Source organism: Homo sapiens, chromosome 1, assembly GCF_000001405.40.
Source record: "Homo sapiens chromosome 1, GRCh38.p14 Primary Assembly".
Taxonomy (NCBI): domain Eukaryota; kingdom Metazoa; phylum Chordata; class Mammalia; order Primates; family Hominidae; genus Homo; species Homo sapiens.
The window spans coordinates 174,900,434-174,921,415 of record NC_000001.11 but is presented as its reverse complement, the minus strand read 5'-3'; the positions used below and the strand labels follow the sequence as shown (position 1 = coordinate 174,921,415).

Below are 20,982 nucleotides of genomic sequence, written 5' to 3'. Positions count from 1 at the left end.
GGTCTATAAAAAACAAATGTATCTGTCCACAATATCTTTGTAAGAGAGAGGGCAATGGGAAGGACAGCACTAAAGTAGGCTGATTAAAACAGGTTTAAAAAAACAAAACAAAACCCAGGTATGCACATTAGTAATGTGCTATTAGTGACGTTATTAGTTCGCTAGGGCTGCCATAACAAAGTACCACAGACTGGGCCGGGCGCAGTGGCTCATGCCTGTAATCCCAGCACACTGGGAGGCCGCGGCAGGTGGATCACAAGGTCAGGAGTTTGAGACCAGCCTGGCCAACATGGTAAAACCCCGTTTCTACTAAAAAAATACAAAAATTAGCTGGGCATGGTGGCATGTGCCTGTAATCCCAGCCACTTAGGAAGCTGAGGCAGGAGAATTGCTTGAACCCGGGAGGCGGAGGCTGCAGTGAGCCAAGATCGCTCCACTGTACTCCAGCCTGGGCGACAGAGCAAGACTCCGTCTCAAACAACAACAAAAAAACAAAGTACCACAGACTGAAGGGCTTAACCAATAGAAATTTCTTTCCTAACAGTTTTGGAGGCTAGAAATCCAAGATAAAGGTTGTTGGCAATGGTTGTATCTTCTGAGGGCTCAATTCGTGGCTTGTAGATGGCCATCTTCTCCCTGTATCCTCACATGATCTTTCCTTTGTGTGTGTCTGTGTCCAAATTTCCTCTTCTTACAAGGACACTAATCATATTGGATTAGAACCTTCCCCAATGACCTCCTTTTACCTTAATTACCACTTTAAAGACCCTACCTCTAAATATAGTCATATTCTGAGATGCTGACTATACTCCAAATATAGTCATATTCAACATATGAATTAGGGATGCGGTAAAGACAATTCAACTCGTAACAGTAGTTGATATGGTTTGGCTGCATCCCCATCCAAGTCTCATCTTCAGTTGTAACTCCCACTTGAATTGTAATTCCCATGTGTTGTGAGAGGAACCTGGTCAGAGGTGACTGAATTATGGAGGTGAATCTTTCCTGCACTGTTCTCCTGATAGTGAATGAGTCTTACAAGTTCTAATGGTTTTAAAAATGGGAGTTTCCCTGCACCAGCTCTCTCTTTGCCTGCTGCCATCCATGTAAGACATGACTTGCTCCTCCTTGCCTTCTGCCACGATTGTGAGGCTTCCCCAGCCAGGTAGAACTGTGACTTCTCCATTAAACCTCTTGCCTTTGCAAACTGCCCAGTCTCAGGTATGTCTTTATTAGCATGTGAAAATGGACTAATACAGTAGTTAGGCCACTAACATTGGAGTTAGATCTGTTTTGAGTCACAGTTCAGCCACTTAGCATTATGACCTGGACAAGATGCTTAACTTCTCTAAGCCTTGGTTTCTGCATAAGGCTGTTGTGAAGAATAAATCACATTATAATCCACAAAAGTGCTTATGGTCCAATGCCAAGCATATAGTATACACCCAATAAATGCCAGTTTTAAGTTCCTGGTGACCCCAAATAAACTTTTATAACTCTACTTACCTAATACTTAACACTTTTCATCAATTTGGTTTGAATAATTCTTTTTTTGTTTTGTTTTGAGACAAGGTCTATGTTGTCCAGGCTGGAGTGCAGTGGCATGATCATAGCTCACTGCAGCCTGAAACTCCTGGGCTCAAGTGATCCTCCTGCCTCAACCTCCCAAGTAGCTGGGACTACAGGCATAACCACTGTGCCCAGATAATTTTTTAATTTTTTTTTGTAGAAACACTGTGTTGCTTTGTTTCTCAGGCTGGTCTTGAATTCCTGGATTCAAGCAATCCTCCCACCTTGGCCTCCCAAAGTACTGAGATTACAGGAGTGAGCCACCATGCCTGGCTTAAAAATAATTCTTAATTTTTTTATTACACTAAAATATTTTTAATTATTTTATAAGACAAAAACTTTCCCTTGGAGAACACCAGTTCTGAGAACCCTGAGCTGCCATGTAAGACATTCAGGGCACTATGCTGTGAAGAAGCTCAAGACATACGGAGAAGCCGAAGTAGGTGTTTCAGTTAATGGTCCCAGCTGAGCCCTGTCTTTGAAACATCCCACTTCAGGTGGCTGACACAAGAGTAAAGAACCACGGATTGGCCAGGCGCAGTGGCTCACGCCTGTAATCCCAGCACTTTGGGAGGTCAAGGCGGGCGGATCGCCTGAGGTCGGGAGTTCGAGACCAGCCTGACCAACATGGAGAAACCCCGTCTCTACTAAAAATACAAAATTAGCTGGACATGGCGGCGCATGTCTGTAATCCCAGCTACTCGGAAGGCTGAGGCGGGAGAATCACTTGAACCTGGGAGGCGGAGGTTGCAGTGAGCCGAGATCGTGCCATTGCACCCCAGCCTGGGTGAAAGAGCAAGACTCTGTCTCAAAAAAAAAAAAAAAAAGAAAAAAGACAAGGTCTTGCTCTGTCGCTTAGGCAGATGCAGTGGCACGATCAGAGCTCACTGCAGCCTCTAACTCCTAGGCTTAAGCAATTCTCCCACCTCAAGCCTCCTGAATAGCCGAGACTACAAGCACATGCCACTGTACGAGACAAATTTTTAAATTTTAATTTTGAATTTTGTGTAGAGATCGGGGGGGTGGGTCTCACTTTGTTGCCCAGGCTCTGAATTCTTTTCTTCTTTTTTGAAAAAAGATCTTGCTCTGTCTCCCAGGATGAAGCGCAGTGGCACAATTTTGGCTCACTATAGCCATGACCTCCTGGGCTCAAGCAACCTCAGCCTCCCAGGTAGCTGGGACTACAGGTGCACAGCAGTATGCCTGGCTAATTTTTAAACTTTTTTTCTAGAGACGAGGTTTCACTATGTTGCCCAGGCTGATCTCTAACTCCTGAGCTCAAGCAATTCTCCTACTTTGGCCACCCAAAATGCTGGGATTGCAGGCGTGAGCCACCATGCCTGGCCCTGTGTGAATTCTTGCTCCGCAGATTCTGTGAGCATAACTGCCATTGTTTTATGACACTGTTTTGAGGTGGTTTGCAATAAATACTCTAGGACTACAGATTAAAGATAACTGGAGCTATGGAATCATAGAAATGTACAGATTATAGATAATAAAGTATATTTCACATAAATATATACATTATAGATAATTAGAGCTACAGAATCATAGAAACAAAGGAGACTGTAGAAACTAAAATATATAATAAACTCCTTCAATTTAAACCTGAGGAAACAGGTCAGCCCACAGTTGCCCGATGAGTGACAGAACTGGGACATACACTTAAGTCTCTTTGCATCCAGTCCTGGGATTTTTCCAAAACATAATTACTTCATAATAGTTCTAAATTATAAAGGCCTCTTATATTATTATTAAAACTGCAATATTTCAGGATGAGAAGACTCTGCTTTCTGTTTGAGGCCAAACATAATTGTATTTCTGGTTACAGACAACTTACCCCTGTATCCCTGACACATGACAGGCACTCAATACACGTATACATGTTTTTTGGGCTTTTTTTTTTTTTTTTTTAAGACAGAGTCTCACTCTGTCACCCAGGCTGGAGTGCTAGTGGCACGATCTCAGCACACTGCAACTCTGCCTCCCAGGTTCCAGCAATTCTCCTGCCTCAGCCTCCTGCATAGCTGGGATCACGGGTAATCGCCAGCATGCCTGGCTACTTTTTGTATTTTTAGTAGAGATGGGGTTTTGTCATGTTGGCCAGGCTGGTCTTGAACTCCTGACCTCAGGTGATCAACCCACCTCAGCCTCCCAAAGTGCTGGGGTTACAGGCGTGAGCCACCACGCCCAGCCTCAATACATATTTTTTGAAGTGAAGAATTACTATATCAAGGTAGCTACAAAAACTGTAAATAGTGCAGCTTAGATCTGCAGTGATTGTGTTTGGAAAATTAAAATGGCATTTTCAGTTTAGAAATAACATTTATAAAGTTATAACACTATAACTGCCTCCCCTTCCACCAGCTGTTAAATTCTGGAAATCTCACTAAAGGCAGTCTTTGCAATCGCCATAACAGTGTCTCCAATGTAAGTCCTCAATGTTTGTCTTCTGATGTATACATAATATCAACACATACATACATTATATATTCTGATGTATACATAATATCAACACATATTTATAAATCTGTAATACTGATGTAATTGGAAGCATAACCTGCCAATTTCCTCTAAGTGTGCATTTTCCCTGATATGAACCGAATGTTTATGTCCTCCCCAACCCACTCCCACACTGAGATACTGAAGCCCTAACAGCCAATGTGATGGCATTTGGAGGTGCAGCCTTTGAGAGGTAACTAGGTTTTGATAAAGTCATGAGGGTGGAGCCCCCATGATTATTAGTGTCCTTACAAGAAGAGGAAGAGAAACCAAAACTCTCCCTCTCTGCCATGTGAGAATACAACAAAAAGGTGGCTATCTGCAAGCCAGGAAAAGAGTTCTCACCAGGAACCAAATCTACTGGAACACTGATCTTGTATTTCCCAGCCTCCAAAACTGCAGACATAAATATTCATTGTTTAAGTGATATTGTATACGGTGTTTGGTTATGGCAGTCCGAGTTGACTAAGACACCTGCTTGTTATTTAGTAATGTAAGTCTTAGTTGGGCACACGGCCTTCAGCTAAAGATTATGCTTCCAAGTGCTGTTTGCATCTAGGTATGGCCAGTGACAAGTTTTCACCAATGGAATGAATAAAATTAATGTGTGAAACTTCCTTCAAAGGACGAGATATGCTCTCCTTTGAGATAGTAGAGCGAGTCTGATTTCCTGACTTCAACGCAGCCACCACATCAAATTTGGATTGTGTATACTGAAACTGACACTAAAAGACAAAAATGAAGATCTTTCTTGTTTAAGCAACTATCTGGTTAGATCTCTTCGTTAACCTGTATTTTAATACAAAAAAACTTCATATTTGTGACTATCATATTTTCCCTTTTGGCCCTTTTCCCCTCTGGGTTGACATGCTTCTTATCTTGTATTTATTTATCTGGCTTATGAATATAAAACTTTGTTCAGCTTCTGGATCACTCTTTTCAGCGATATTTAAGTGTTGTGAGGTCATTTCAGGTCCCATCATTGACAAGATTGCATGTAAAAGCAAGAAGGTGAATTCAGAAACATTACTGTGAAAGTCTTAAAAATCTAGCCAGGTAAAGAGAGACATATAGATTAACAGAACAGAATTGAGAGTTCAGACATAAACCCTTATGGTCATCTGACTTTCAACAAAGTTGCCAGGGAAATTCAATAGGGGAAAGAATAATCTTTTCAACAAATAGTGCTGGGATAATTGGATAGCCCTATACAAAAAAAAAATGTACATAGACCCTTACCTCATACCATACCAAAAAAAAAAAAAAAACTAAAGAAAAATTTATTATAGACTTAAATATAACAGTGAAAACTATAAAACATTTAGAAGAAAACATAAGAGAAAGTCTTTGCAGTCTTGGATTAGGCCAAGATTTATTAGATGACACCAAAAGCATAATCCATAAAAGAAAAAAATGGCTAAGTTATTAAAACCTTTGCTTTTCAAAACACACCATTAATTTTTAAAAAGCCACAGATTGGGAAAAAATATTTATAAATCATATATGTCATAAAGGACTTATTTCTATAATATATAAAGAACTCTCATGACTCAATAGGAAGACAAATAACCCAATTTAAAAATGGGCAAAGGCTGGGAGTGGTGGCTCACGCCTATAATCCCAGCACTTTGGGAGGCCGAGGTGGGCGGATCATGAGGTCGAGAGATTGAGATGATCCTGGCCAACATGGTGAAACCCCATCTCTACTAAAAATACAAAAATTAGCTGGACGTGGTGGCGTGTGCCTGCAGTCCTAGCTACTCGGGAGGCTGAGGCAGGAGAATCGCTTGAACCTGCGAGGCAGAGGTTGCAGTGAGCTGAGATCACGCCACTGCATTCCAGCCTGGTGACAGAGCAAGACTGTCTAAAAAACAAAAGAAAAAAGGGCAAAAACTCTGAACAGACATTTTACCAAAGAAAATATATAAAGGGCATGAAAAGGGGCTCAACACCATTAGAAAATATAAATAAAAACCTCAAATGAGATACTACTACAAAAATGATTGACATCAAGTGTTGTTGAGGATATGGAGAAACTGGAATCCTTATACATAACTGGTGGGAATATAAAATGTTATAGCCACTTTGGAAAATAGTATGGCAATTTCTTAAAAGTTAAACATAAACTTACTATACTCAGCAATTTCACTCCTAGGCATCAACCCAAGAGAAATGAAAACACATGTTCACAGAAAAACTTGTGGGGAACATTCATAGGAGCATTATTCATAGTAGCCAAAAACTAGAAACAAGCAAAAAGTCCATCAACTGGTAAATGGATAAACAAAATGTGGGCTATCCATACAATGCACTATGCAACGAAAAGGAACAAGCTACTATTATGCAACAAAAAAGAAGAAATAACTGTTATTTACTATAGCAGAGATTAACCTCAAAATCATTATGCCAAGTAAAAGAAGCCAAGTACAAAAGACTAAATACTGTATGGTTCCATTTATACATACATTCCATTTATATAAAAGCAGATTAGGGGTGAATGGATCTGGGGGGTAGGATGAGGGCTGACTGCAAATGAGCATGAAGGAATTTTAGGGAGGTGTTCAAAATACTCTGAAACTGGATGTGATGATGGATGCATAACTCTGTGAACTCTCTGCTAAATTGCACAAACAGGTGAATTTTATACTATATAACTTATACCTTTATAAGGCTGTTGAAAAAGTTTAAAAAAAAAATCTAGCCAGAATCTTTCTGCAGACAGTAAAGAAAGGGAAACCACTATATATTAATATAAAGCTTCACCAGTCCTTTGTAGGACTGTTCCTACAGACTCATATGTATGCATTTAGAGGTATTACTGTGGCAGAGACTACTAAAGTTGTACTTCAGTATCCACTCTGCTTCTTCCTTTAGTAATAATCCTTCCTGTCAATTGGGCTTGTGGTTATCTATCTAAAGATGATCATTCCCAGCCATCCCTGCAGCTTGGTATGGCCATATGATTAGGTCTGGTTGGTAAATAAAAGTGATATATGTCATTTGATACTTGTGCCCCTAAAACGGAAGGGATGTATTCTCTCTTCCTTTCCCCTGTTGGCAGGGAGATGGTAAAAGCTCTAACAAATCCCTGAACCCATCAATGGAAGCAGCTTGAGAGGAGGCAGAGGCACCCTACTGGCCTTGGACCTCTCAATCCTAGACTGTATGTGAGAAAAACCACTGGATTTTAGGATAATGCAATCACAGTTTAGAAAATAAAGAATGGAGTTCATCCCTTAACTCTAAGTATGATAGGCAGCAACTATCTTTACGGACTGTTTGCAGACCAGCCATAAAAATGTTCTTATCTAATTGCAGAAAAATTTATGCAACAACTTCTGTTAGTTTTCAATATTTAAGATCTGTTGTAGATAAATATGCTGGGAAATCTATCCTGGACAATAGTATGTATCTAAAGTCTAGGTATTTAAAGAGTGTTCCTCAAAGTTATTAAAGTTTTAGAATTTGTTTCTTTTGAGTGTTAAGATCTATTTTCTGAAACAATGAGTGGCCAGTCATTTTTATTGCATACAAACACTGGCATTAACACAGCACTAAGTAAAAATCTGTTCTTTTTCTTTTCCTATAATTACTCCATTGAAACTTTACAACAGTCATATAGTACAAAGAAACCCTTTGCAGACAGCTCATTTATAGAGAGAAGCTAAGTATTTATTTACTTGCTACTCAATTTAAAATACGACCATGGCAGGCAACCAACCAGGAGAAGAGCTAAAAGTTTGAAAGCACTGCCCTTTTCTCTACTATAGAAGTTACAGGGTCAAGCCTTGGAAAATTTCCACAAAATAAGGCTTTGCTAAACATATTTACCTTATCAGAAAGATTGTATCTCAAAAAAGTTACGTTTTTCTTCAGGCAAGACAAGAAAAACTGCCTGTCCTAATCGACAGTACACAGGGACAAACTTCTATCTCTAGAAACACAAGGTTTAGTGCTGCTACCCTTCTCACACAGCAATGATAAGCAAGGCAAAGGCTCTGGAGGAAACCATCAAAATCTGTATAGTTATATTGTTTTATTATATAGCTCTTAGAAATAAGCATGTAGAGGTCGGGCGCAGTGGCTCACACCTGTAATCCTAGCACTTTGGGAGGCCAAGGTGGGCAGATCACTTGAGGTCAGGAGTTCGAGACCAGTCTGGCCAATGTGGTGAAACCCTGTCTCTACTAAAAATACAAAAATTAGCCAGGCGTGGTGGCATACACTTGTAATCCCAGCTACTCGGGAGGCAGAGGTGGAAGAATTGCTTGAACCTTGGAGGCGGAGGCTGCAGTGAGCTGAGATTGTGCCATTGCACTCTAACCTGGGCGACAGAGTGAGACTTCATCTCAAAAAAAAAAAAAGCTAAAGAAATAAGCATGTAGACAGTAAACTATGCTGGATATCCCTACTTACAACCAAGAGTACTGTCTGTGCCATATATGATAAAGAGACAAAAGCTTTCACACAGTGCTACACAATAATTAAACTCTGGTTACTGGTGCTGCTTAATGAGGAGTATATCACATGATGATGGAATAAAAGCAATCAGAAGCTGATACTATTAAAATGGCACATATTTCAATAATTTTCAGGGTTTAAAAAGTTTAAAAACATATGACTACATATATCTGGATTAAATTTTACTGTTAAATGAATCCCTTTCTGACAATCTAAAAGAGACCAGAATTCAGTTATTTTCAACAAATTAGCCTCATCTAAGATTGACACACATTTTCCATATGAAATAAACTTATCAGATTAGACACAGCTGGCACTCTACCAGATTCACTTTGTGCCCTATTAATATGCACATGGTTATACTTTGCTTTTTAAGTCATAAGACATTTCTAGATATGAGTATGTTCTTTTCTGAGAATACTGAAACTTTGTGAAATTGGCTGGGTGCAGTGGCTCATCTGGCCTGCAATCCCAGCACTTTAGGAGGCCAAGGTGAGAGGATCACATGAGGCCAGGAGTTCAAGAACAGCCTGAGCAACAAAGTGAGGCCCCATTTCTACAAAAAAATGAAAAAGTTAGCTGGGCATGGTGGCATGCACTGGTAGTCCCAGCTACTCAGAAGGCTGAGGCAGGAGGATTGCTTCAGCCAAGAGTTCAAGGCTGCAGTGAGATATGTTAGCACCACCACTGCACTCCAGCCTGGGTGACAGAGAGAGACCCTGTGTCCAAAAATAAACAAACAAACAAACAAACAAAGGAATTTAATGAAATCAAAGACTATATATTTTTTTTCTGCTATTTCTTGTGATAAGGCATGATACATCCTAGCCACTTATAGACAGTTCCAGCTTATCCAATGATGAAACAAGTATCCAATTCTTTGGGCATATCTTTGAGTTACTTTAACAGGGCAATAGATGTGAGCTGATCTGTCCAGATTCTCTTGCTTGGTTCCTATTGCGTGACAAATGTGAGAGGCTACTGGCAGAGAAAAGTAGTAAAATCTACAGAACAGAACACAGTCATCTGTTTCATTTGGATATGGAGCATATCCAAAACTCTGAGAAGAGTTTAGAAATCACTGTTTCCACAGTCATCTTTATGGCCATTCTACGCCATCAAGGCAAGCATAGTGCAACTCTGGAAGCAATAAGCACCTCCTACTGCTCAGTCATGTGTCTCTATGTTCAGCAGCTTAGAAGAATCATAGGTTCAGCAAGGGAGCTTTAACTTCTATAACAATAATAATTAGATTACATATACGAGTATTTGAATGGGCTATATTTAACACCTTGAAATTTAATAAGATGGTGTCATTACTAACTAGATAATAGGCTCACAAAATTTATCTCCAGTCTCCTAAGCACATTCTCAGATTTTATAAGTTTTAGTGAAAAATCCCAAAATATCCTTTATAGGTGAATGGGACCCTATTTCATAGAAAGATAAAGCTTAGAAAATGTAACAAAGTTATTCAATTCACACAAATTTGCATTAAATTTAGCTATTATTTCTGTAAGTGTCAACAAAGCCGTTTGCACTCATTATTACATAAAGGTTTGCTTTCTTTAAAAAAAGCAAAAATAGTGAGACTTCAAGCAAGTTTAAAACTTTTTTAACAAAAACACTTTCTTGAAAGTGAAAAGACAACCTGCAAAACGGAAGAAAATATCTGTGTCATATAGCTGATAAGGATTTGCTGTCCATAATATATAAAAAAGTTTACTTGACAATAAAAATAAAAAAATTTAAAAATAGGTAAAAAATCTGAATAGATATTTCTCCAAAGAAGATATACAAATGGCTAATAAGCACGAGAAAAGATACTCAACATAATTAGTCATTAAGGAAATGCAATCAGAATCACAATGAGATGCCACTTTACACAAACTAGGATGGCTAGAATCAAAAAATGGAAAATAACATATGTTAGTGAAGAGTGGAGAAATTAGAACCTTCTGCATTGCTGGTGATAATGTAAAATGGTTGAGCTGCTGTGAAAACAGTATGGTGGTTCCTTAATAGTTAAATATAGAATTATGATTTAAGCAAGCAATTCCACTCCTAGGTATATACCCAAAATAACTGAAAACAGGGACTCAAACAGATACTTGCACAGATCGTCTCTGACTTACAATTATGATTTTTGTATGTTGATTTTGTATGCTGCAAGTTTACTGAATTTGTTTATCAGTTCTATCAGTTTTGTGGTGGTGTCTTTAGGTTTTTCTATGAGTAAGATCATGTCATCTACAAACAAGGCTAATTTGACTTCTTCCTTTCCAATTTGGATGTCCTTTATTTCTTTCCTTTGCCTAATTGCTGTGGCCAGGACTTCCACTGTTACGTTGAAAAAAAGTGGTATAAGTGGGCATCCTTGTCTTGTTCTGGTCCTAGGAGGAAAGGCTTCAACTTTTCCCAGTCAGTACAATGTTACCTGTGGGTTTGTCATTTATGGTCTTTATTATTGAGGTATAATAATTCCATTATTATTAAGGTACATAATCATTTCTTCTACTTCCATTTTGATGAGGGGCTTTATCATAAAGGGATGCTGAATTTTACCAAATGCTTTTTTGGCATCTATTGAAATAATCAAATGGTTCTTGTTATTGGTTCTGTCCATGTGATGTACCACACTTATTTATTTGCATATACTGAGCCCTCCTTGCATCTCCATCTCTTTGATGGGAGACTTTAAACTACAGCTTTGATCTCATTACTTGTTTGTTTGTGTTTTTTTTTGAGACAGACTCTCACTCTGTCACCCAGGTTGGAGTGCAGTCGCGAAATCTCAGCTCACTGCAAGCTCCGCATCCCAGGTTTACGCCATTCTCCTGCCTCAGCCTCCCAAGTAGCTGGGACTACAGACACCCGCCACCATGCCCAGCTAATATTTTGTATTTTTAGTACAGACGGGGTTTCACCGTGTTAGCTAGGATGGTTTCGATCTCCTGACCTCGTGATCTGCCCACCTCAGCCTCCCAAAGTGCTGGGATTACAGGCATGAGCCACCACACCCGGCTGATCTCACTACTTGTTATTGGTTTGTTGAAGTTTTCTATTTCTTATGGTTCAGTCTTGGTAGGTTGTATGTGTTCAGGAATTCCTCCACTTCTAGGTTTTCCAGGTTGTTCATAACAGTCTCTAACGATGCTTTGTATTTCTGAGGTTTCAATTGTTATATTTCCTTTTTTGTTTCTGATTTTATTGGGTCTTCTCTATTTTTTTCTCAGTCTAGCTAAAGTTTCGATTTTAACTTTCCATAAAAACCACTTTCACTTTGTTGATCTTTTCTATTGTTCTCATAGTTTTAATTTATTTTATTCCATTTCCATTTGTTTCAAAAAATTTTTAGGATGGGCACAGTGGCTCATGCCTATAATCCTAGCATTTTGGGAAGCCAAAGTGAGAGGATAGCTTGAGCTCAGCAGTTCAAGACCATCCTGAGCAACACAGTGATACTTCATCTCCACAAATATTTAAAAAAATCAGTCAGGTGTATGGTGGCACATACCTATAGTCCCAGCTACTTGGGAGGCTGAAGTGGGAGGATCACTTGAGCCTGGGAGGTAGAGCTTGCAGTGAGCTGAGATCATGACACTGCACTCAAGCCTGGGTGACAGAGTAAGACCTTCTCTCAAAAACAAACAAAAAAAAACCTTTTAAAAAATTTCCTTTTTAGTACTTTTTTTTTTTTTTTTTGAGATAGAGTCTCACTCTGTTGCCCAGGTTGGAGTAGAGTGGCGCGATCTTGGCTCACTGCAACCTCTGCTTCCTGGGTTTAAGAGATTCTCCTGCCTCAGCCTCCCAATTAGCTGGGACTACAGGCGCATACCACCATACCTGGTTAATGGTTTTTTTTTGTATTTTTAGTAGAGATGGGGTTTCACCATGTTAGCCAGGATGGTCTCGATCTCCTGACCTCGTGATCTGCCCGCCTCGGCCTCCCAAAGTGCTGGGATTACAGGTGTGAGCCACTGTGCCCGGCCCCTTTTTAGTACTTTCATTGACCCATTGGTTGTTCAAGAATATCTCGTGGCCAGGCGCAGTGGCTGACGTCTGTAATCCCAGCACTTGGGGAGGCCGAGGTGGGCAGATCACCTGAGGTTCGGGAGTTTGAGACCAGCCTGACCAACATGGTGAAACCCCATCTCTACAAAAAATACAAAAATTAGCCGGGTGTAGTGGTGGGCACCTGTAATCCCAGCCACTCAGGAGGCTGAGGCAGGAGAATTGCTTGAACCCAGGAGGCAGAGGTTGCAGTGAGCCAAGATCGCACCATTGTACTCCAGCCTGGGCAACAAAGTGAGACTCCCTCTCAAAAAAAAAAAAAAAAAAAAAAAGAATATGTTGTTTAACTTACTTATTTAATGTGTTTGTGTATTTTTGATGTTACAGATTTCTAGTTTTATTCCATTGTGGTTGGAAAAGATACTTGATATGATTTCTTTTTTAAAAAATATGTTCAGATTTGTTTTGTGGTCTAAGATATGGTCTATTCTGGGGAATATTCCATGTGCTGATGAAGAGAATGTGTATTCTGCAGCAGTTGGGTGAAATGTACTATAAATGTCAGGTAGGTCTATTAGATTTAGTGTGTAGTTTAACTCTACTGTTTCTTTGCTAATTTTCTGTCTGGATCATCTGTTACTGAGAGTGGGGCTTAAAATCCCCTACTATTACTGTATTGCAGTTTACCTCTCCTTTTAGATTTAACATCTGCTTTACATACTTGGGAACTCTGGTGCTGAGTGCAAAAATATACAATTGTTATATTCTCTTGCTTAATTGACCCTTTTATCATTATATAGTGACCTTGTCTCTTTTTACATTCTTTGATTAGTGTACTATTTTATCTGATATAATTGTAGCTATTCCTGCTCATTTCCAGTTGCATAGAATATATTTTCCCAACCCCTTCACATTAAGTCTATGTGTGTCTTGATAGGTGAAATGGGTTTCTTGAAGGCAGCATATAGCTGGGTCTTGTTTCTTTACCCATTCAGCCACTGTATGGCTTTTAATTGGAGAACTGAGACCATTTATACTCAGTGTTATTATTGATAAGTAAGGATTTACTAATGCCACTTGTTGCCTGTCTTGTGGTTGTTTTGAGACTCCTTTCTTTCTTCCTACCTAATAGGTAGTAAATTTGTTGCTTTTATTTTTAGTGAATCTATTATAGGTTTTTTGCACTGTGCTTATCATGAGAAAAAAAAGCATCTTATAGATATAACAAATTATTTTTAAAAGATGACAACATAGGGGCCAGGTGTTGTGGCTCATGTCTGTAATCCCAGCACTTTGGGAGGCCGAGGTGGGTGGATCATTTGAGTCCAGGAGTTTGTGACCAGCCTGGGCAACATGGCAAAACCATGTCTCTACAAAAAATACAAAAAAATGAGCCAGGTGTGGTGGCACACACCTGCAGTCCCAGCTACTTGGGAGGCTGAGGTGGGAGGATAACCTGAGCCCAGAAGGTCAAGGCTGCAGTGAACCATAATCATGCCACTGCAGTCCAGTCTGGGTGACAGATGAGACCCAATCTTAAAAAAAAATTAAAAAGACAACTTATCTTGGATCACAAATAAAAGAACAGAAACAGGCAAAATAAAAAAACATGACAAAATTCTACTCTGCCTCCCCCTTTTGACTTTCAGTTGTCTGATTTTATATATTTTTCATTATCTATCTCTTAACAGGCTGCTGTAGCTATTGTTACATGACAGTAACAGAGTATTTTGGGTTTATCCGTATACTTAATTTTACAAGTGGGTTTTATATCTTGAAAACTTTTTTTTTTTAACCCATTAGTGCTTTCTTCTTTCAAATGGGAAAGCTCCCTTTATTTCTTGTAAGATAAGCCCGGTGGTGGTGAATGATTCAGTTTTTACTTGTCTGGTAAAGATTTTATATCTCCTTCATATGTGAAGGATAGTTTTTCTGGGTACAGTATTCTTGAATGCAAGTTTTTTTTTTTCTTTGAGCACTTTGAAAATGTCACTTCATCCCCTCATGGCCTATATGGTTTTCCATTCAGAAGTCTATTGCCAGCCAAACTGGAGATCTTTCATATGTTATTTACTTCTTTTCTCTTGCTGCTTTTCAAATCCTCTCCTTATCTTTGATCTTTGAGAGTTTACTATATCCCTTGGGATATCTTATTTGGGTTGAATCTGTTTAGTGATCTCAGGCTTTCTTGTACCTGGAAAGTTTTCTATTACTATTATTATTATATTAATTTTTATTTTTTGAGATGGAATCTCATTCTGTCACCCAGGCTAGAGTGCAGTGGCGCCATCTCAGCTCACTGCAACCTCTGCCTCCCAGATTCCAGCAATTTTCCTGCCTCACCCTCCCCAGTAGCTGGGATTATAGGCATCTGCCACCACACCCCGCTAATTTTTGTATTTTTAGTAGAGATGGGGTTTCACCTTGTTGGTCAGGCTAGTCTCGAACTCCTGACCTCATGTGATCCGCCTGCCTTGGTCTCCCAAAATGCTGGGATTACAGGCATGAGCCAATGCACCCAGCCTATTATTATTTTTTGAATAAGCTTTCTAGGCTAGGCATGGTGGACACACCTATATTCCCAGCCCTTTGGGAGGTTGAATTGGGTGGATCACTTGAAGTCAGGAGTTCGAGACCAGCCTGGCTAACATGGTGAAACCCCGTCTCTACCAAAAAATAAAAAAATTAGCCAGGCGAGTTGGCACATGCCTACAGTCCTAGCTACTTAGGAGGCTGAGGTGGAAGAATGGCTCAAACCTGGGAGGCAGAGGTTGCAGTGAGTGGAGATGGGGCCACTGCACTCCGACCTGGGTGATAGAGTGAGATCCTGTCTCAAAGGAAATGAATAAGCTTTCTTCCCCTTCCTTGTTCTGCTTAGCTCCCTCTTGAACACCAGTAATTCTAAGATTTGGTCTTTTGAGGCAATTTTCTATATATTGTAGGCTATCTTTATTCCTTTTCATTCTTTTTCTTTATTCTCCTCCATGTATTTTCTTTTTTCTTTTTCTTTTTCTTTTTTTAGACAGAGTCTCACTCTGTTACCCAGGCTAGAGTACAGTGGCGCGATCTCAGCTCACTACAACCTCCACCTTGTGGGGTCAAGTGATTCTCCTGCCTCAGCCTCCTGAGTAGCTGGGATTTCAGGCACCCGGCACCATGTCCAGCTAATTTTGGTATTTTTAGTAGAGATGAGGTTTCATCACGTTGGCCACGCTGGTCTCGAACTCCTGACCTCAAGTGATCCACCCACCTTGGCCTCCTAAAGTGCTGGGATTACAGGCATGAGCCACCACACCCAGACTTCTCTGTGTATTTTCAGACAGTCTTTGAACTCACTGATTTTTTTTTTCCTCTGTTTAGTCCATTCTACTGTTGAGAGCCTTTAATGAAGTCTTCTGTTCAGGAAAGGTATTCTTTAGTTCTAAAATTTCCATTTAATTTTTTGTTATTTCAATCTTTGCTAAACTTCTCTGATAAATTTCTGAATTGCTCTTCTTTGTTATGATGGTGATCACTGAGTTTCCTTAAAATTGCCATTTTGAATGCTAGGTCACAGATCTTACAAATCATCACTTAAGGCTAGTGACTGAATTGTTGCTCTGTCTCTTTGGAAAGGTCATGGTTTTTGCACTGAAGGATTAGTTATTTATTCTAGTATTTGCATTGAAGAATTAGTTATTTATTTCAGTATTTTCTGTCTGGCTTGTTTTGTTTTTTATTAGATATAGTTCCTTAGCAAATCTTTACTACTAGGTCACTTCCTCCTTTTTGGCTCTTGTGGCACCTTAAAGCCCAGGTTCACCTTGACGCTAGTGCATGATTGGAGTGCTGCCTGTCCCAAACTAGGGAGTTCCCAAAGAGATTATCCCAGCAGTGTGAGAAGGCTGGCTAGAGGTTCCTGTCCAAGGAACCTATGAAATATACCACTCTCTTCTCATGCCTGTCATCCCAGCAAGTTGAGAGGCTGAGGTAGGAGGATACCTTGTGCCCAGGAGTTTGAGACCAGCCTTGGCAACATGGTGAGACCCCCGTCTCTACAAACAAATTTTAAAAATTAGCTGGGCATGGTGGCACCCACCTGTAGTCCCAATACTCAGGAGGCTGAGGTAGGAGGACTGCTTGAACCCAGGGAGTTGAGGCTGCAGTGAGCTGTGTTCACGCCACTGCATTCCAGCCTGGGTGACAGAGGAAGACACCCCTCCTCCCTAAAAAAAAAGAAAAGAAAAAAAGAAAGAAAGAAATGTACCTCCTATAGAATAGAGCTACTGAACAGCCACTTTTATGTGGCATCTCCTTTGGCCTAGTTACAAAGCAGAGTTTTCAGAGCTAGGGATGATAGTCCCATTTCTCCCCTTTGTCTGCCTGTCCTTGGGGGAATATTCCTCCCTTTAGGCAGTCATGATGCTTCCTGTGGGTTAAGGCAAGAACAGGTCTCCTGCCAGGTAACCCAGTATGGTGCGAAAAGATGGTTGATGGTCTCAATCTCTCTTTTTGTTTTAGAGACATAGTCTTGTTCAGTCACCCAGGCTGGAGTGCAGTGGTACAACCATAGTTCACTGGAACCTTGAACCCCCAGGCTCAAGTGATCCTCTCACCTTAGCCACCAAAGTACAGGGATTATAGGCATGAGCCACCACACCTGGCCTCAATCTCAGTTTTTCTAGTGTAGAAACTCTAAGTTGGGGAAAGATTTTCCTCAAGCTTATTGCCAGGCAGAATGGGGGAGAGAGCAGAACCTTGGATATGGAAGTTCAGTTCTCCTACTGACTGCTCAGAGTTGTTGCTAGCAAAAATCTTGGCGCTATATATTTGTTTTTGGTTTTCTGTGGGGGGAGGGGAGAGTGGAGGCAGCTTGCTTCCATGTCACCATTTTAAAATCAGAAATCTCCCTAGGAATTTTTTTTTTTTTTTTTTCTTTTGAGACAGAGTTTCGCTCTTGTTGCCCAGGCTGGAGTGCAATGGCGCGATCTCAGCTCACCAAAACCTCCACCTCACGGCTTCAAGCGATTCTCCTGCCTCAGCCTCCCAAGTAGCTGGGATTACAAGCATGCGCTACCATGTCCAGCTAATTTTGTATTTTTAGTAGGGATGATGTTTCTCCATGTTGGTCAGGCTGGTCTCAAATTCCCGACCTCAGGTGATCCACCCGCCTCAGCCTCCCAAAGTGCTGGGATTACAGGCGTTAGTACCGCACTCAGCCATGAAATTTTTTTATCCACTTCTTAACCACCTATATCCAGTGTTATATGGCTTTATATGATTTTATATTCAAATCCTAATGCTATACTGCTTTATATTATAATTCCAATTCATTTGCTGAGAATTCTCTTTCCCCATACCCCACATGAACATTTTATTTTCCCATATGCACTGTCATACATTACAAAGTCCATTGTCAAATACCCAAATAGAACAGCAGAATTTGTGGAAGGTCTGTGATAAAGAAAAATGCATTATCTGTATTAAAAGAAGTTTCTCTTTATATTATCACATTCCACTCATAATCTGAAGACAAAGGCTCATGTATTTCACCAGATGCACATTTCATAAACCCAGAGTTGTAATGGGACAACTCCAGCTACAGAATGATCTGTATTTCTATGGCATATCTGGGCATTGAAGCTTTAGGCACCCAGGTGAAGGCAAATGGCTTTGGAAGGATATTTACACTTATGGTACTTGTGTGTCTTGGAATTCTAGGAAGTTTCCCAAACTCTCCAGGAAACAAGAATTGGTCTGTTGCCTCTATATCTCTAATATACAGGATTATTTATTTTAGAAGATGCACACAATGGAAAAAAAATTACAGCTGCTGAATTTGAAATATAAATCCCAGCTTTGTCACTGAGTCCTGATGTCTTAGCCAGTTTCCTTAACTTCCCATAACCTTAGTTTCCTCACCTTTTAGATTAGCTTCAGAGATCAATCCAAGATGGCCGATTAGAAACAGCTGTGGTCCATTACACTCATGGAGACGAATGAAAAAGGAAGAGTGAATTCAGCACCGAAATATCCAGGTGGTTACACTGGGACTGACTAGGCAAACCACCTGACCCAGAGAGAACAAAGAAAAGTAGTGTGGGGCAGGCAGGGCAGTGACAGCCCACCCAGGAGTGGCATAGAGCCAAAAGAAACTCCACCCCCAGCCAAGGGAAACAGTGATTGTGCAACCCCACCTGGGAAACCACACTTCTCCCACAGATCTTTGCAACTCACCTATCAGGAGAGTCCCCTCATGAGACCATGCCAACAGGGCCTTGGGTCTGATACACAGAGCTATGTGGAGTCACGGCAGAGTAGCCACTTAGGTACATGCAGAGACCCAGGAGTTTTAAATACACCAGCCCCAGGATTCCCAGAAAGGTGGGAAATCCATCTGTATATATCCCTAGGAAGGGAGCTGAATCCAGGGAGTCAAGCAGCGACGTTCTGTGGGCCCCACTTCCACAGCACCTCACAAGTTAAGACCGACTGGCGTGGAATCCCAGCCAGCCAATGGCAGTGGATTAGAGTCCATCAGAGACAACTCTGAGTTCCTGGGGGGGAGAGGCAGCCACCACCTCTATGGTTCAGTCAAGTCAGCTGCTCTAGTCTGCCAGCTATGGAGAATATAGGTGGTCCAAACAAGGAAGGGACCTCCTCCAACACAGCATACCTGCTCTACCAAAAAGCAGCCAGACTGCTTCTTTGGGTGGGTCCCTCATCCCGTTCCTCCTGACTGGGTGACAATTCCCAATGTGGGTCTTCAGCCACCTCCTACAGGTGTGTGTGGGCTGGCAAAAGGTCAGTATCCCCCTAGGATGGAGCTTCCAGTGGAAGGAGCTAGCTGCCACCTTTGCTTTTTCTCAGCCTACACTGGTGATACCTCCAGGTACAGGAAAAACTGAGGCAACTGGGGTCTGGATTGGACCCCCAGCAAACCACAGCAGTCCTACGATAGATAGAGTGGCCTGATTGTTAAAAAGAAAAACAAACAGAAAACTACAACAATATCAACAAAAAAGACCCCACAAAAACCTCACTCAAAGGTCAGCAACCTCAAAAATCAAAGGTAGATAAGCCCACAAAGATGAGAAACGATCAATGCAAAAATGCTAAAACCTCAAAAAAGCCAGAGAGTCTGTTCTCTTCCAAATGACCGTTAACACTTCTCCAGCAAGAACACAGAACTAGGTTGAGGCTGAGATGGCTGAAATGACAGAAGTAGGCTTCAGAAGGTGGGTGGTAATGAACTTCACTAAGCTAAAGGAGCATGTTGTAACCTGATATGGTTTGGCTGTGTCCCCACCCAAATCTCATCTTGAATTGTAGTTCTCATAATCCCCAGGTGTCATGGGAGGGCTCAGGTGGAGATAACTGAATCATGGGGGTAGTTTCCCTCATCCTGTTCTCATGACAGACAGTTCTCATGAGATCTGATGGTTTTATAAGGGGGGCTTCTCCCTTTACCGGGCACTCATTCTCTCTCCTACCACCATGTGAAGAAGAACGTGTCTGCTTCCCCTTCTGCCATTATTGTAAGTTTCCTGAGGCCTCCCCAGCCATTCTGAACTGTGAGTCAATTAAACTTCTTTCCTTTATCAATTCTCTAGTCTCGAGTATGTCTTTATTAGCAGTGTGAGAACGAATTAATACATAACCCAATGCAACAAAGCTAAGAATCATGATAAAACAATACAGGAGCTGATAGCCAGAATAGCCAGGTTAGAGAGGAACATAACTAACTAATGGAGCTGTAAAACACAACATGAGAACTTCACAATGCAATCACAAGTATAAATAGCAGAATAGACCAAAGAGGGGAAAGAATTTCAGAGCTTGAAGACTATCTTTCGGAAATAAGACAGGCAAACAAGAATAGAGAAAAAAGAATAAAAAGGAATGAACAAAACCTCCGAGAAATATGGGATTATGTAAAGAGAACAAACCTATGACTGACTGGGGTACCTGAAAGAGATGGGGAGAAAATAACCAGGTTGGAAAACATCCTTCAGGATATCATCCAGGAGAACTTCGTCAACCTAGCAAGACAGGTCAACATTCAAATTCAGCCTGGGCACAGTGGCTCACACCTGTAACCCCAGCACTTTGGGAGGCCAATGCAGGTGGATCACTTGAGGCAAGGAGTACAAGACTAGCCTGGCCAACATGGTGAAACCCTGTCTCTACTAAAAATAGAAAAATTAGCTGGGTGTAGTGGCTCACACCTGTAATCCCAGCTACTCAGGAGGCTGAGGCAGGAGAATAGGGCCTGGAGGCAGGGAACACAAGCCCGATCCACACTAATGTCCTAAAATTATATCAAGTGAAAGCACTTCAGTAATGACAGGAATGTGAATGGCTTTGCAACTCCACTTCATCCTCTCCACAACATTTACACTTTGTAACTTCACATTCATCCTCTCCATTTACATAGACCACACACACCAAGCAACA

At 40.8% G+C, this 20,982-nt stretch overlaps 1 protein-coding gene across 26 annotated transcripts in view, besides 2 other annotated features; it reads right to left on the bottom strand.

Moving 5' to 3' along the window:
• Positions 1-20,982, bottom strand: part of RABGAP1L (RAB GTPase activating protein 1 like) — an 835,789-nt gene that overhangs the window by 73,893 nt on the left and 740,914 nt on the right. The window lies entirely within an intron of this gene.
• Positions 4,538-4,617: an enhancer, noted in NCBI's record as "active region_2125". NCBI's record gives its function as "activates an Ori minimal core promoter by ATAC-STARR-seq in GM12878 lymphoblastoid cells {active_cell/tissue: GM12878}" and the evidence as "EXISTENCE:reporter gene assay evidence [ECO:0000049][PMID:35858748]".
• Positions 19,019-19,520: an enhancer, noted in NCBI's record as "H3K27ac hESC enhancer chr1:174871033-174871534 (GRCh37/hg19 assembly coordinates)". NCBI's record gives its function as "activates a minimal SCP1, AML or CMV promoter by ChIP-STARR-seq in naive and primed H9 embryonic stem cells {active_cell/tissue: H9 hESC(naive and primed)}" and the evidence as "EXISTENCE:reporter gene assay evidence [ECO:0000049][PMID:30033119]".